Here is a 13415-nt window from a genome sequence, read left to right on the forward strand (position 1 = left end):
TGTGGAAGATCAGTATTATTTCTTTCATGTTTGATTGAATTCATCTGTGAAATGATTTGCCAAATTCATTGTTGTGAAGATTTTGTCATATTTTTAAAAAGAGTGTTAGTATTTTAGGTCTTATATTTAGATCTCTGATCCATTTCCAGTTAATTTTTGTATGTGGCATAAGTAAGGGTCCAACTTCATTGTTTTACATGTTGACATCCAGTTTTCCCAGCATCATTTATTGAAAACACTGTCCTTTCCCCATTGAATGGTCTTGGCACCCTTGTTAAAAATCATTTGATCATACATGTGAGGGATAATTTCCACTGTCTATTCTATTTCATTAGTTATATGTCTATGTTTATGCCAGTACCACACTGTTTTAATTACTGTAGACTTGTTGCAGTTTTGAAATCAGGAGTGTGAGTCCTACAGCTTTGGGCTTTTTTTTTTTTTTTTTTTTTAGACTGTTTTGACTATTTCTGGGTCCTCTGAGATTCCATGTGAATTTTAGGATGGCTTTTTCTATTTCTGCAAAAAACATCATCAGGATTTTGATAAGGATTGTACTGAACCTGTAGACCACTTGGGGTAGTATTGACATTTTAACAATATTAAGTCTTCCAATCCATGAACATGGGATGTAACCATTTGTTTATGTCTTCTTTAATGTCTTTCAGCTATATTTTATGGTTTTCATTATGCAAGTCTTTCACTTTTTTGTGTTAATTCCTATTTTACTCTTTTTGATGCCATTGTAAATGAAGTTGTTTTCACAATTTCGTTTTCAGATTGTTCACTGTTAGTGTATAGAAATATAACTGGCTTTGTGTTCTGAATTTCAATCCTGCCATTTTGCTGAATTCCTTTATTAGTTCTGTTTTTATGTGGAATATTTAGGTTTTCTACATATAAGATTATATCATATCTGAAGGAGGTCATTTTACTTCCTCCATTCCAATTTGGATGCTTTTTATTTCTTTTTCTTGCCGAATTGCTCTGGCTGGAATGTCCAGTACTATGTGGAACAGAAATGGCAAAAATGGCATTGAAACTTTTATTAATATATTATGTCCTTCTCTTTGTCTCTTATAACCCTTTTTAAAATTTAAAGTCTATTTTGTATGATATTAGTACAACCACTCTTGCTATCTTTTGGTTACTATTTGCATGGAAAATCTTTTCCTACCATTTCACTTTATTTATTTTTTATTTTTCCATGGGTTATTGGGATACACGTGGTGTTTGGTTACATGAGTAAGTTCTTTAGCGGTGATTTGTGAAATTTTGGTGCACCCATCACCCAAGCAGTATACACTGCACCCTATTTGTAGTCTTTCATCCCTTGCCCCCTCCCACTTTACCCCCAAGTCCCCAAAGTCCACTGTGTCATTCTTATGCTTTTATGTCCTCCTCATAACTTAGCTCCCACATATCAGTGAGAACATACGATGTTTGGTTTTTCATTTCTGAGTTACTTCACTTAGAATAATAGCCTCCAGTCTCACCCAGGTTGCTGCAAATGCTGTTGATTCATTCCTTTTTATGGCTGAGCAGTATTCCATTATATATATATCACAGTTTCTTTATCCACTCATTGATTGATGGACATTTGGGCTGGTTCCACATTTTTGCAATTGCAAATTGTGCTGCTATAAATATGTGTGTGCAAGTATCTTTTTCGTACAATGACTTCTTGTCCTCTGGGTAGATACCCAGTAGTGGGATTGCTGGATCAAATGGTAGTTCAGCTTTTAGTTCTTTAAGGAATCTGTTTTCCATAGCGGCTATACTAGTTTACATTCCCATCAGCAGTGTAGAAGTGTTCCCTGTTCACCGTATCCATGCCAACATCTACTGTTTTTTGATTTTTTGATTATGGCTATTCTTGCAGGAATGAGGTGGTATCATATTGTGGTTTTGATTTGCATTTCTCTGATCATTAGTGACATTAAGCATTTTTTCATGTTTGTTGGCCATTTGTATACTTTTGAGGCTTGTCTATTCATGTGCTTAGCTCACTTTTTGATGGTATTGTTTCTTTCTTGCTGATTTGTTTGAGTTCCTTGTAGGTTCTGGATATTAGTCCTTTGTCAGATGTATAGATTGTGAAGATTTTCTCCCACTGTGTGGGCTGTTTACTCTGCTGACTGTTCCTTTTGCTGTGCAAAAGATCTTTAGTTTAATTATGTCCTAGCTATTTATATTTGTTCTTATTGCATTTGCTTTTGGGTTCTTGTTCATGAAATCCTTGCCTAAGCCAATGTCTAGAAGGGCTTTTCCAATGTTATCTTCTAGAATTTTTATAGTTTCAGGTCTTAGATTTAAGTTCTTAATCCATGTTGAGTTGATTTTTGTATAAGGTGAGAGATGAGGATCCAGTTTCATTCTCCTACATGTGGCTAGCCAATTATCCCAGCACCGTTTGTTGAAAAGGGTGTCCTTTCCCCACTTTATGTTTGTGTTGGCTTTGTCGAAGATCAGCTGGCTGTAATTATTTGGGTTTATTTCTGGGTTCTCTATTCTGTTCCATTGGTCTATGTGCCTATTTTTATACCAGTACTATGCTGTTTTGGTGATTATGGCTTTATAGTATAGTTTGAAATCAGGTAGTGTGATGCCTCCAGATTTGTTCTTTTTGCTTAGTCTTGCTTTGGCTATGCAAGCTCTTTTTTGTTTTTGTATGAATTTTTCTAATTCTGTGAAGAATGATGGTGGTATTTTGATGGGGATTGTGTTGGATTTGTAGATTGTTTTTAGCAGTATGGTCATTTTCACAATATTGATTCTACCCATCCATGAGCATGAGATGTGTTTCCATTTGTTTGTGTCATCTATGATTTCTTTCAGCAGTGTTTTGTAGTTTTCCTTGCAGAGGTCTTTCACCTCCTTGGTTAGGTATATTCCTAAGTTTTTTTTTTTTTCAGCTATTGTAAAAGGGGTTGACTTCTTGATTTGACTCTCCGCTTGGTTGCTGTTGGTGTATAGAAGAGCTACTGATTTGTGTACATTAATCTTGTTTCTAGAAACTTAGCTGAATTCTGTTATCAGTTCTAGGAGCTTTCTGGAGGAGTCTTTAGGGTTTTCGAGGTAAACAATCATATTGTCAGCAAACAGTGAGAGTTTGACTTCCTCTTTACTGATTTGAATGCCCTTTTACTGATTTGAATGCCCTTTACTTCTTTCTCTTGTCTTGCTCTGGCTAGGACTTCCAGTAGTATGTTGAAGAGGAGTGGTGACAGTGGGCATCCTTTTCTTGTTTCAGTTCTCAGAGGGAGTGATATCAGCTTTTCCCCATTCAGTATTATGTTGGCTGTGGGTTTCTTTTTTTTTTTTTTATTGGTGCAAATTACTGTTTATTAAGCATTATTTATTCCTTATGCAAAACAAATGTGCACTAGCCTTTGGCATTAACTAAACACTCTCTACATATTTCTTTTTTTATTATTATTATACTTTAAGTTTTAGGGTACATGCGCACAATGTGCAGGTTAGTTACATATGTATACATGTGCCATGCTGGTGTGCTGCACCCATTAACTCGTCATCTAGCATTAGGCATATCTCCCAATGCTATCCCTCCCCCCTCCCCCCACCCCACAACAGTCCCCAGAGTGTGATGTTCCCCTTCCTGTGTCCATGTGTTCTCATTGTTCAATTCCCACCTATGAGTGAGAAGATGTGGTGTTTGGTTTTTTGTTCTTGCAATAGTTTACTGAGAATGATGATTTCCAATTTCATCCATGTCCCTACAAAGGACATGAACTCATCATTTTTTATGGCTGCATAGTATTCCATGGTGTATATGGGCCACATTTTCTTAATCCAGTCTATCATTGTTGGACATTTGGGTTGGTTCCAAGTCTTTGCTATTGTGAATAATGCTGCAATAAACATACGTGTGCATGTGTCTTTAAAGCAGCATGATTTATAGTCCTTTGGGTATATACGCAGTAATGGGATGGCTGGGTGAAATGGTATTTCTAGTTCTAGATCCCTGAGGAATCGCCACACTGACTTCCACAATGGTTGAACTAGTTTACAGTCCCACCAACAGTGTAAAAGTGTTCCTATTTCTCCACATCCTCTCCAGCACTTGTTGTTTCCTGACTTTTTAATGATTGCCATTCTAACTGGTGTGAGATGGTATCTCACTGTGGTTTTGATTTGCATTTCTCTGATGGCCAGTGATGGTGAGCATTTTTTCATGTGTTTTTTGGCTGCATAAATGTCTTCTTTTGAGAAGTGTCTGTTCATGTCCTTCGCCCACTTTTTGATGGGGTTGTTTTTTTCTTGTAAATTTGTTTGAGTTCATTGTAGATTCTGGATATTAGCCCTTTGTCAGATGAGTAGGTTGTGAAAATTTTCTCCCATTTTGTAGGTTGCCTGTTCACTCTGATGGTAGTTTCTTTTGCTGTGCAGAAGCTCTTTAGTTTAATTAGATCCCATTTGTCAATTTTGGCTTTTGTTGCCATTGCTTTTGGTGTTTTAGACATGAAGTCCTTGCCCATGCCTATGTCCTGAATGGTAATGCCTAGGTTTTCTTCTAGGGTTTTTATGGTTTTAGGTCTAACGTTTAAGTCTTTAATCCATCTTGAATTGATTTTTGTATAAGGTGTAAGGAAGGGATCCAGTTTCAGCTTTCTACATATGGCTAGCCAGTTTTCTCAGCACCATTTATTAAATAGGGAATCCTTTCCCCATTGCTTGTTTTTCTCAGGTTTGTCAAAGATCAGATAGTTGTAGATATGCGGCGTTATTCCTGAGGGCTCTGTTCTGTTCCATTGATCTATATCTCTGTTTTGGTACCAGTACCATGCTGTTTTGGTTACTGTAGCCTTGTAGTATAGTTTGAAGTCAGGTAGTGTGATGCCTCCGGCTTTGTTCTTTTGGCTGAGGATTGACTTGGCGATGCGGGCTCTTTTTTGGTTCCATATGAACTTTAAAGTAGTTTTTTCCAATTCTGTGAAGAAAGTCATTGGTAGCTTGATGGGGATGGCATTGAATCTGTAAATTACCTTGGGCAGTATGGCCATTTTCACGATATTGATTCTTCCTACCCATGAGCATGGAATATTCTTCCATTTGTTCGTATCCTCTTTTATTTCCTTGAGCAGCAGTTTGTAGTTCTCCTTGAAGAGGTCCTTCACATCCCTTGTAAGTTGGATTCCTAGGTATTTTATTCTCTTTGAAGCAATTGTGAATGGGAGTTCACTCATGATTTGGCTCTCTGTTTGTCTGTTGTTGGTGTATAAGAATGCTTGTAATTTTTGTACATTGATTTTGTATCCTGAGACTTTGCTGAAGTTGCTTATCAGCTTAAGGAGATTTTGGGCTGAGACAATGGGGTTTTCTAGATATACAATGATGTCGTCTGCAAACAGGGACAATTTGACTTCCTCTTTTCCTAATTGAATACCCTTTATTTCCTTCTCCTGCCTAATTGCCCTGGCCAGAACTTCCAACACTATGTTGAATAGGAGTGGTGAGAGAGGGCATCCCTGTCTTGTGCCAGTTTTCAAAGGGAATGCTTCCAGTTTTTGCCCATTCAGTATGATATTGGCTGTGGGTTTGTCATAGATAGCTCTTATTATTTTGAAATATGTCCCATCAATACCTAATTTATTGAGAGTTTTTAGCATGAAGGGTTGTTGAATTTTGTCAAAGGCCTTTTCTGCATCTATTGAGATAATCATGTGGTTTTTGTCTTTGGTTCTGTTTATATGCTGGATTACATTTATTGATTTGCGTATATTGAACCAGCCTTGCATCCCAGGGATGAAGCCCACTTGATCATGGTGGATAAGCTTTTTGATGTTCTGCTGGATTCGGTTTGCCAGTATTTTATTGAGGATTTTTGCATCAATGTTCATCAAGGATATTGGTCTAAAATTCTCTTTTTTGGTTGTGTCTCTGCCTGGCTTTGGTATCAGGATGATGCTGGCCTCAAAAAATAAGTTAGGGAGGATTCCCTCTTTTTCTATTGATTGGAATAGTTTCAGAAGGAATGGTACCAGTTCCTCCTTCTACCTCTGGTAGAATTCAGCTGCGAATCCATCTGGTCCTGGACTCTTTTTGGTTGGTAAACTATTGATTATTGCCACAATTTCAGATCCTGTTATTGGTCTATTCAGAGATTCAGCTTCTTCCTGGTTTAGTCTTGGGAGAGTGTATGTGTCGAGGAATTTATCCATTTCTTCTAGATTTTCTAGTTTATTTGCATAGAGGTGTTTGTAGTATTCTCTGATGGTAGTTTGTATTTCTGTGGGATCAGTGGTGATATTCCCTTTATCATTTTTTATTGCATCTATTTGATTCTTCTCTCTTTTTTTCTTTATTTGTCTTGCTAGCGGTCTATCAATTTTGTTGATCCTTTCAAAAAACCAGCTCCTGGATTCACTGATTTTTTGAAGGGTTTCTTGTGTCTCTATTTCCTTCAGTTCTGCTCTGATTTTAGTTATTTCTTGCCTTCTGCTAGCTTTTGAATGTGTTTGCTCTTGCTTTTCTGGTTCTTTTAATTGTGATGTTAGGGTGTCAATTTTAGATCTTTTCTGCTTTCTCTTGTGGGCATTTAGTGCTATAAATTTCCCTCTACACACTGCTTTGAATGCATCCCAGAGATTCTGGTATGTTGTGTCTTTGTTCTTGTTGGTTTCAAAGAACATCTTTATTTCTGCCTTCATTTCATTATGTACCCAGTAGTCATTCAGGAGCAGGTTATTCAGTTTCCATGTAGTTGAGCGGTTTTGAGTGAGATTCTTAATCCTGGGTTCTAGTTTGATTGCACTGTGGTCTGAGAGATAGTTTGTTATAATTTCTGTTCTTTTACATTTGCTGAGGAGAGCTTTACTTCCAAGTATGTGGTCTATTTTGGAATAGGTGTGGTGTGGTGCTGAAAAAAATGTATATTCTGTTGATTTGGGGTGGAGAGTTCTGTAGATGTCTGTTAGGTCCGCTTGGTGCAGAGCTGAGTTCAATTCCTGGGTATCCTTGTTGACTTTCTGTCTTGTTGATCTGTCTAATGTTGACAGTGGGGTGTTAAAGTCTCCCATTATTAATGTGTGGGAGTCTAAGTCTCTTTGTAGGTCACTCAGGACTTGCTTTATGAATCTGGGTGCTCCTGTATTGGGTGCATATATATTTAGGATAGTTAGCTCTTCTTGTTGAATTGATCCCTTTACCATTATGTAATGGCCTTGTCTCTTTTGATCTTTGTTGGTTTAAAGTCTGTTTTATCAGAGACTAGGATTGCAACCCCTGCCTTTTTTTGTTTTCCATTTGCTTGGTAGATCTTCCTCCATCCTTTTATTTTGAGCCTATGTGTGTCTCTGCAGGTGAGATAGGTTTCCTGAATACAGCACACTGATGGGTCTTGACTCTTTATCCAATTTGCCAGTCTGTGTCTTTTAATTGGAGCATTTAGTCCATTTACATTTAAAGTTAATATTGTTACATGTGAATTTGATCCTGTCATTATGATGTTAGCTGGTTATTTTGCTCGTTAGTTGATGCAGTTTCTTCCTAGTCTCGATGGCCTTTACATTTTGGCATGATTTTGCAGTGGCTGGTACCGGTTGTTCCTTTCCATGTTTAGTGCTTCCTTCAGGAGCTCTTTTAGGGCAGGCCTGGTGGTGACAAAATCTCTCAGCATTTGCTTGTCTGTAAAGTATTTTATTTCTCCTTCACTTATGAAGCTTAGTTTGGCTGGATATGAAATTCTGGGTTGAAAATTCTTTTCTTTGAGAATGTTGAATATTGGCCCCCACTCTCTTCTGGCTTGTAGAGTTTCTGCCGAAAGATCCACTGTTAGTCTGATGGGCTTCCCTTTGAGGGTAACCTGACCTTTCTCTCTGGCTGCCCTTAACATTTTTTCCTTCATTTCAACTTTGGTGAATCTGACAATTATGTGTCTTGGAGTTGCTCTTCTTGAGGAATATCTTTGTGGCGTTCTCTGTATTTCCTGAATCTGAATGTTGGCCTGCCTTGCTAGATTGGGGAAGTTCTCCTGGATAATATCCTGCAGAGTGTTTTCCAACTTGGTTCCATTCTCCCCGTCACTTTCAGGTACACCAATCAGACGTAGATTTGGTTTTTTCACATAGTCCCATATTTCTTGGAGGCTTTGCTCATTTCTTTTTATTCTTTTTTCTCTAAACTTCCCTTCTCGCTTCATTTCATTCATTTCATCTTCCATCGCTGATACCCTTTCTTCCAGTTGATCGCACCGGCTCCTGAGGCTTCTGCATTCTTCACGTAGTTCTCAAGCCTTGGTTTTCAGCTCCATCAGCTCCTTTAAGCACTTCTCTGTATTGGTTATTCTAGTTATACATTCTTCTAAATTTTTTTCAAAGTTTTCAACTTCTTTGCCTTTGGTTTGAATGTCCTCCCATAGCTCAGAGTAATTTGATCGTCTGAAGCCTTCTTCTCTCAGCTCGTCAAAGTTATTCTCTGTCCAGCTTTGTTCCGTTGCTGGTGAGGAACTGCGTTCCTTTGGAGGAGGAGAGGCGCTCTGCTTTTTAGAGTTTCCAGTTTTTCTGCTCTGTTTTTTCCCCATCTTTGTGGTTTTATCTACGTTTGGTCTTTGATGATGGTGATGTACAGATGGGTTTTTGGTGTGGATGTCCTTTCTGTTTGTTAGTTTTCCTTGTAACAGACAGGACCCTCAGCTGCAGGTCTGTTGGAGTACTGGGCCCTGTGAGGTGTCAGTCTGCCCCTGCTGGGGGGTGCCTCCCAGTTAGGCTGCTCGGGGGTCAGGGACCCACTTGAGGAGGCAGTCTGCCCGTTCTCAGATCTCCAGCTGCGTGCTGGGAGAACCACTGCTCTCTTCAAAGCTGTCAGACAGGGACATTTAAGTCTGCAGAGGTTACTGCTGTCTTTTTGTTTGTCTGTGCCCTGCCCCCAGAGGTGGAGCCTACAGAGGCAGGCAGGCCTCCTTGAGCTGTGGTGGGCTCCACCCAGTTCGAGCTTCCCGGCTGCTTTGGTTACCTAATCAAGCCTGGGCAATGGCAGGCGCCCCTCCCCCAGCCTCGCTGCCGCCTTGCAGTTTGATCTCAGACTGCTGTGCTAGCAATCAGCGAGACTCCGTGGGCGTAGGACCCTCCGAGCCAGGTAAGGGATGTAATCTCCTGGTGCGCCGTTTTTTAAGCCTGTCGGAAAAGCGCAGTATTCGGGTGGGAGTGACCCGATTTTCCAGGTGCCGTCTGTCACCCCTTTCTTTGACTAGGAAAGGGAACTCCCTGACCCCTTGAGCTTCCCGAGTGAGGCAATGCCTCGTCCTGCTTCGGCTCGCGCACGGTGCGCGCACCCACTGACCTGCGCCCACTGTCTGGCACTCCCTAGTGAGATGAACCCGGTACCTCAGATGGAAATGCAGAAATCACCCGTCTTCTGCGTCGCTCAACGCTGGGAGCTGTAGACCGGAGCTGTTCCTATTCGGCTATCTTGGCTCCTCCCCCTGGCTGTGGGTTTCTTATAGATGGCTTTTATTACATTGAGGTATGTCCCTTGTATGCCGATTTTGCTGAGTTTTAATCATAAAGCGATGCTGGATTTTGTCAAATGCTTTTACTGCATCTATTGAGATGACCATGTGATTTTTGTTTTTAATTCTGTTTATGTGGTGTATCACATTTATTGACATATCACATTTATTGGTATATGTTAAACTATCCTTGCATCCCTGGTATGAAACCCCCTTGATTATGGTGAATTATCTTTTTGATATGTTGTTGGATTCAGTTAGCTAGTATTTTGTTAAGGATTTTAGCATCTATGTTCATGAGGGATATCAGTCTGTAGTTTTCTTTTTTGGTTATGTCCTTTCCTGGTTGTAGTATTAGGGTGATTCTGGCTTCATAGAATGAATTAGGGAGGGTTCCCTCTTTGTCATGTGGAATAGTGTCAAAAGGGTTGGTACCAATTCTTCTTTGAATGTCTGGTGGAATTCTGCTGTGGATCCATCTGGTCCTAGACTTTTGTTGTTGTTGTTGTTGGTAATTTAAAAATTACCATTTTAATCTCGCTGCTTGTTATTGGTTTGTTCAGGGTATCTAATTCTTCCTGATTTAAGCTAGGAGGGTTGTATTTTTCCAGGAATTTATCCATCTCTTCTAGGTTTTTTAGTTTAAATGCAAAGGTGTTCATAGTAGCCTTGAATGATCTTTTGTATTTTTGTGATGTCTGTTGTAATATCTCCTGTTTTGTTTCTTATTGAGTTTATTTGGATTTTCTCTCTTCTTTTCTTGGTTAATCTTGCTAACAGCATATCAATTTTATTCATATTTTCAAAGAACCAGCTTTGTGTTTCATTTATCTTTTTTATTTTTTTGTTTCAATTTCATTTAGTTCTGCTCTGATCTTGGTTATTTCCTTTTGTCTGCTGGGTTTTGTTTGTTCTTGTTTCTCTAGTTCCTTGAGGTATGACCTTAGAATGTCAGTTTGTGCTCTTTCAGTCTTTTTGATGTAGGCATTTAAGGCTATGAACTTTCCCCTTAGCCCCTCCTTTGCTGTATCCCAGAGGTTTTGATAGGTTGTGTCACTATTATTCAGTTTGAAGAACTTTTAAATTTCCATCTTGATTTCATTTTTGACTCAATGATCATTTAGGAGCAGGTTATATAATTTCCATGTATTTGCATGGTTCTGAAGGTTCCTTTGGAATGGATTTCCAGTTTTATTCCACTGTGGTCTGAGAGAGTGCTTGATATAATTTCAATTTTCTTAAATTTATTGAGGCTCATTTTGTGGCCTATTGTATGGTCTGTCTTGGAGAAAGTTCCATGCACTACTGAATAGAATGTGTATTCTGCAGTTGTTGGTTGGAATGTTCTGTATATATCTGTTAAGTCCATTTGTTACAAGGTATAGTTTAAATCCATTGTTTCTTTGTTGACTTTCTTTCTTGATGACCTGTCTAGTGCTGTCAGTGGAGTATTGAAGTCCCCCACTATTATTGTGTTGCCGTCTATCTCATTTCTTACGTTATTAGTAATTATTTTATAAATTTGGGAGCTCCAGTGTTAGGAGCATATATGTTTAGGATTGTGATGTTTTCCTGTTGGACACGGCCTTTTACCATTGTATAATGTCTCTGTCTTTTTTAACTGCCGTTGCTTTAAAGTTGGTTTTGTCTGATATAAGATAGCTACCCCTGCTTACTTTTGGTGTTCATTTGCATGAAATATCTTTTTCTACCCCTTTACTTTAAATGTATGCGAGTCCTTATATGTTAGATGAGTCTCCCGAAGGCAGCAGATGGTTGGTTGGTGATCTTATCCATTCTGCTGTTTTGTATTTTTTTAAGTGGAGCATTTAGACCATTTACATTCAGTGTTAATATTGAGATGTGAAGTACCATTCCATTCCTCATGCTATTTGTTGCCCATGTGCCTTGGTTTTTTTGTTTTTGCTTTTCAAATTGTATTTTTGTTTTATAGGTCCTGTGAGCTTTATGCTTTAAAGAGGTTCCATTTTGATGTGTTTCCAGGATTTGATTCAAGATTTAGAGCTCCTTTTAGCAGTTCTTGTAGTGGTGACTTGGTAGTGGTGAATTTTCTCAGCATTTGTTTGTATCCTTCTTTCATATATGACGCTTATTTTTGCTGGATACAGAATTCTTGGCTGATAATTGTTTTGATGGAGGAGGCTGAAGATATGGCCCCAGTCCTTTCTAGCTTGTAGGGTATCTGCTGTTAATCCTGATAGGTTTTCCTTTATAGGATACCTGGTATTTTTGTCTCATGTTTTTCTTTATAGGTTACCTGGTGATGTTTTTGCAATGAATTTCCCAGGTGTTCTTTGAGCTTCTTGTATTTGGATGTCTAGGTTTCTAGCAAGGCCAGGGAAGTTTTCCTTGATTATTCCCCCAAATATGTTTTCCAAACTTTTAGATTTCTCTTCTTCCTCAGGAACACCAATTATTCTTAGATTTGGTCGTTTAACATAATCCCAGCCTTCTTGGAGGCTTTGTTCATATTTTCTTATTCTTTTTCCTTTGTCTTTGTTGGATTGGGTTAAGTCAAAGACCTTGTCTTCGAGCTCTGAATTTCTTTCTTCTACTTGTTCAATTCTATTGCTGAGACTTTCCAGAGCATTTTGCATTACTAGAAGTATGTCCAATGTTTCCTGATGTTTTAACTGTTTTTTCTTTATTCTATCTATTTCCTTGAATATTTCTCCCTTCACTTCTTGTATTGATTTTTGGATTTCCTTGCATTGGGCTTCACCTTTCTCTGGTGCCTCCCTAATTAGCTTAATAACTAACCTCCTGAATTCTTTTTCAGGTTAATCAGGGATTTTTTTCTTGGTTTGGATCCATTGCTGGTGAGCTAGTGTGATTTTTTGGGGAGTGTCAAAGAGCCTTGTTTTGTCATATTAATTACCAGAGTTGGTTTTCTGGTTCCTTCTCATTTGGGTAGGTTATTATTAAGTCTTAGTAGTTTTGGTGAGCCTGGGCCCTTGGACTGTGAACTTCACAAGTGCTTCTTAGTCTATCCCTTCCCTCCCCTTAGGTGGAACAGCTAGAGTGGCTAGAGCTGGGTATCCCCCTACCCTTAGGTCAGTTAGGCTGTGAGAAAAACCTAAGTAATTTAAGCTCTGGTAAATTAGTTTCTCCTGAGGGCAGGCCTTGTTAAGAAAACTAGAATGTTTTGGTATATTTAAAAATTACTTTTCTCCTACCCCTTTTGGAAGGATGAAGAGATTTTTCTCCAGTATTTACTGTAAGAACTTGGTTGAGCTCCTGGAGGTAAAACTCACAAAAGTGTGTTGTGTTTTGGGTGCCGCGGTGGGGGGTGGCGCTTGATAACTGGGCCCCACTGGAGTTTTTCATCTCTCAGACTTGTCCACACTGAGCCTCCAGCAATTTGTCAATTACAGTTCAGGGCTTCCCTACTCCTGGCACTGGTTCTTGCAGAGGTTTCTGCTTGTGGGTTTCTGCTCTGTTAAGTTGTGATTGTTTCTATTTGCTTGTCTGTCTCTCTAATTTTGGGGGCAGTAGTTTGCCCTGTGACTTCACTTCTCCAAAAGACCTAATAAGAGTTGCTGAATTTTTTTTTTTTTTTTTTTTTTTTTTTTTTTTGAGATGGAGTCTCACATTGTTGCCTGGGCTGGAGTGCAGTGGCACGATCTCGGCTCCCAGGTTCACGTGGTTCTCCTGCCTCAGCCTCCCAGGTAGCCGGGATTACAGGTGCCCACCACCATGCCCAGATAATTTTTTATATTTTTAGTAGAGACGGGGTTTTACCATGTTGGCCAGACTGGTCTCAAACTCCTGACCTCATGATCCGCCTGCCTCAACCTCCCAAACTGCTGGGATTACAGGCGTGAGCCACCACACCCGGCTGAGTTGTTGATTTTTTAGTTTGTTCAGCTTTTTACTTGTTAGAATGAAGTGATGACTGCCGACCTCCTTATGTGCCAGACTAGAA

General features: G+C 39.2%; 2 protein-coding genes across 39 annotated transcripts in view, besides 3 other annotated features; both read left to right on the forward strand.

Moving 5' to 3' along the window:
- Positions 1–13415, forward strand: part of ARSG (arylsulfatase G) — a 192850-nt gene that overhangs the window by 145530 nt on the left and 33905 nt on the right. The window lies entirely within an intron of this gene.
- Positions 8422–9080: an enhancer, noted in NCBI's record as "H3K27ac-H3K4me1 hESC enhancer chr17:66409262-66409920 (GRCh37/hg19 assembly coordinates)". NCBI's record gives its function as "activates a minimal SCP1, AML or CMV promoter by ChIP-STARR-seq in naive H9 embryonic stem cells {active_cell/tissue: H9 hESC(naive)}" and the evidence as "EXISTENCE:reporter gene assay evidence [ECO:0000049][PMID:30033119]".
- The window catches only part of PRKAR1A (protein kinase cAMP-dependent type I regulatory subunit alpha), a 137694-nt gene continuing 133202 nt past the window's right edge, over positions 8924–13415 (forward strand). The window contains exon 1 of the mRNA NM_001278433.2: positions 8924–9096. The gene's annotated coding sequence lies outside the window, so the exon portion shown is untranslated. The remainder of the gene's footprint in view (positions 9097–13415) is intronic.
- Positions 9081–9737: an enhancer, noted in NCBI's record as "H3K27ac-H3K4me1 hESC enhancer chr17:66409921-66410577 (GRCh37/hg19 assembly coordinates)". NCBI's record gives its function as "activates a minimal SCP1, AML or CMV promoter by ChIP-STARR-seq in naive H9 embryonic stem cells {active_cell/tissue: H9 hESC(naive)}" and the evidence as "EXISTENCE:reporter gene assay evidence [ECO:0000049][PMID:30033119]".
- Positions 9233–9282: an enhancer, noted in NCBI's record as "active region_12649". NCBI's record gives its function as "activates an Ori minimal core promoter by ATAC-STARR-seq in GM12878 lymphoblastoid cells {active_cell/tissue: GM12878}" and the evidence as "EXISTENCE:reporter gene assay evidence [ECO:0000049][PMID:35858748]".

Source organism: Homo sapiens, chromosome 17, assembly GCF_000001405.40.
Source record: "Homo sapiens chromosome 17, GRCh38.p14 Primary Assembly".
Lineage (NCBI taxonomy): Eukaryota > Metazoa > Chordata > Mammalia > Primates > Hominidae > Homo > Homo sapiens.